Source organism: Homo sapiens, chromosome 5 (genome assembly GCF_000001405.40).
Source record: "Homo sapiens chromosome 5, GRCh38.p14 Primary Assembly".
Taxonomy (NCBI): Eukaryota; Metazoa; Chordata; class Mammalia; order Primates; family Hominidae; genus Homo; species Homo sapiens.
Genome location: NC_000005.10, coordinates 117,342,963 through 117,345,715, shown reverse-complemented (window position 1 = coordinate 117,345,715; position 2,753 = coordinate 117,342,963). Strand labels below are relative to the sequence as shown.

Sequence of the window (2,753 nt, the reverse complement as noted above, 5' to 3'; positions counted from 1 at the left end):
AAAAAGGAACTTTGTCTGGTGTTGGAAATGTTTTATGTCATAATAGTGGTTATTACATAATTCTGTACACTTACCAGAAATCTTTGAGCTGTACACTTAAATTATGTCAATTTTGTTGTGTTAAACTACATTTCAATAATTTTTTTAAAAATTGGTATATTTCATACAAGGAGATAATAGCCTAAATGAGATAGCATTCAAAATGAGGTAAAAATTAATAGCAAATGTGTAATTCAGCTCCTAAGAGTAGCTTACCTTAAAAGTCAAATAGATCAGTTAAAATGTCAGTTTTACCAAATCCAAGCTATGCCAAAGGAGGCTAACAATAGTACCTAATTTTTAGGAATTTTGTAAAAATTAAAGGAGATGATATATTAAATGTTTAGTCAAATACCTGACACATAACAAGGACTCAAAAACTACTACTTTATTATCACCAAGGCAAATTATTTAAGCAACTGTTTGCCCTGTTAGTATCTTCTCAATTAGGCTTTCTAATATTTTATGTTAGTTTCAACTGCTGCCTCTCACCCAAATACCTAATTTATCCAAAAGGTCTTGCTTTCTAAATATGTATTATCATTTATTCATTCCTTTATTCAATAATACCTATCAATCACTTTCCATGGCCAAGCACTCTGTTGAGTACTTGAGGTGAGGTAAGTTATTAAACCAATCATGCGTGATTTCCTACACTCATGCAAAGGTGGGCATTAAATAAGCATACAATTAAATATAAATTCAAATTATAAAGCATGCCACAAATTAGAAGATTATGGTAATGTGCTAGATAATCACAGATGGAGGTAATTTCAATGAGGGATCCATGGAAGTCTTTTTTAAGAAAAGGACATTTCAGTTGAAACTAAAAGATACGTCTGACAAAAACATCCCCTGTTGAGAGAATAGCAAAGATTTGGCAGTGTAAAAAAGTTTGTTGATCCTGAGAAACTAGAACACAAAACAAAATACTACTGTGTCTGGTGGGTAATGAGAAAGGAGCAGCAGGAGGTGAGCTTGGAGAGGTGGACACAAGCAGATGATGGAAAGCTTGTGGGCCATGTTAAGACTGTCCTATTTGACATAATAGTCTCTAATATTTTGATATCAATAATAATATCAAGTGATTCTATGCACCAAACAGTATTTCAAGTGCTCTATATGAGCTATTTCATTTAGTCCTACAACAACCCCATATGGGTAGATATTTATTAACAGGTCATTTTATAGCACAGCCTACTGAGTTTATAATCTTAAAAAATCAAAGAATCCAAAGAGCAAAACGAAGACAGGAACCTCTAGCTTCAGAGCCCACCCACTTAAACCCTGTGCTTTGTGCCTTCTCTCTATGTTACACTGTCATTCGGTTTAAGACTAAGGGATGCAATAACAGGATGAAGTTTATGTACTTAAAAGGTCACCTCAAAAAGGAGGAGCCAAGATGGCCGAATAGGAACAGCTCCTGTCTACAGCTCCCAGCGTGAGCAACGCAGAAGACTGGTGATTTCTGCATTTCCATCTGAGGTACCAGGTTCATCTCACTAGGGAGTGCCAGATAGTGGGCGCAGGTCAGTGGGTGCGTGCACCGTTCGTGAGCCGAAGCAGGGTGAGGCATTGCCTCACTCGGGAAGTGCAAGGGGTCAGGGAGTTCCCTTTCCTAGTCAAACAAAGGGGTGACAGACGGCACCTGGAAAATCGGGTCACTCCCACCCAGAGACTGCACTTTTCCCACGGGCTTAAAAAATGGCGCACCAGGAAATTAGATTATATCCGGCACCTGGCTCAAGGGTCCTACGCCCACGGAGTCTCCCTGATTGCTAGCACAGCAGTCTGAGATCAAACTGCAAGTCGGCAGTGAGGCTGGGGAAGGGGCGCCCGCCAGTTGCCCAGGCTTGCTTAGGTAAACAAAGCAGCCAGGAAGCTCCAACTGGGTGGAGCCCACCACAGCTCAAGGAGGCCTGCCTGCCTCTGTAGGCTCCACCTCTGAGGGCAGGGCACAGACAAACAAAAAGACAGCAGTGACCTCTGCAGACTTAAATGTCCCTGTCTGACAGCTTTGAAGAGAGCAGTGGTTCTCCCAGCACGCAGCTGGAGATCTGAGAATGGGCAGACTGCCTCCTCAAGTGGGGCCCTGACCCCTGACCCCTGAGCAGCCTAACTCGGAGGCACCCCCCAGCAGGGGCACACTGACACCTCACACGGCAGGGTATTCCAACAGACCTGCAGCTGAGGGTCCTGTCTGTTAGAAGGAAAACTAACAAACAGAAAGGACATCCACACCAAAAACCCATCTGTACATCACCACCATCAAAGACCAAAAGTAGATAAAACCACAAAGATGGGGAAAAAACAGAGTAGAAAAACTGGAAACGCTAAAAAGCAAAGCGCCTCTCCTCCTCCAAAGGAACGCAGTTCCTCACCAGCAACAGAGCAAAGCTGGACAGAGAATGACTTTGACCAGCTGAGAGAAGAAGGCTTCAAACGATCAAATTACTCCAAGCTATGGGAGGAAATTCAAACCAAAGGCAAAGAAGTTGAAAACTTTGAAAAAAGTTTAGAAGAATGTATAACTAGAATAATCAATACAGAGAAGTGCTTAAAGGAGCTGATGGAGCTGAAAACCAAGGCTCAAGAACTACGTGAAGAATGCAGAAGCCTCAGGAGCCAATGCGATCAATTGGAAGAAAGGGTATCAGCGATGGAAGATGAAATGAATGAAATGAAGAGAGAAGGGAAGTTTAGAGAAAAAAGAA

The 2,753-nt window shown here is 41.8% G+C and overlaps 2 annotated features.

Moving 5' to 3' along the window:
- Nucleotides 1,173-1,695: an enhancer, noted in NCBI's record as "NANOG-H3K27ac-H3K4me1 hESC enhancer chr5:116679717-116680239 (GRCh37/hg19 assembly coordinates)". NCBI's record gives its function as "activates a minimal SCP1, AML or CMV promoter by ChIP-STARR-seq in primed H9 embryonic stem cells {active_cell/tissue: H9 hESC(primed)}" and the evidence as "EXISTENCE:reporter gene assay evidence [ECO:0000049][PMID:30033119]".
- Nucleotides 1,696-2,218: an enhancer, noted in NCBI's record as "NANOG-H3K27ac-H3K4me1 hESC enhancer chr5:116679194-116679716 (GRCh37/hg19 assembly coordinates)". NCBI's record gives its function as "activates a minimal SCP1, AML or CMV promoter by ChIP-STARR-seq in naive H9 embryonic stem cells {active_cell/tissue: H9 hESC(naive)}" and the evidence as "EXISTENCE:reporter gene assay evidence [ECO:0000049][PMID:30033119]".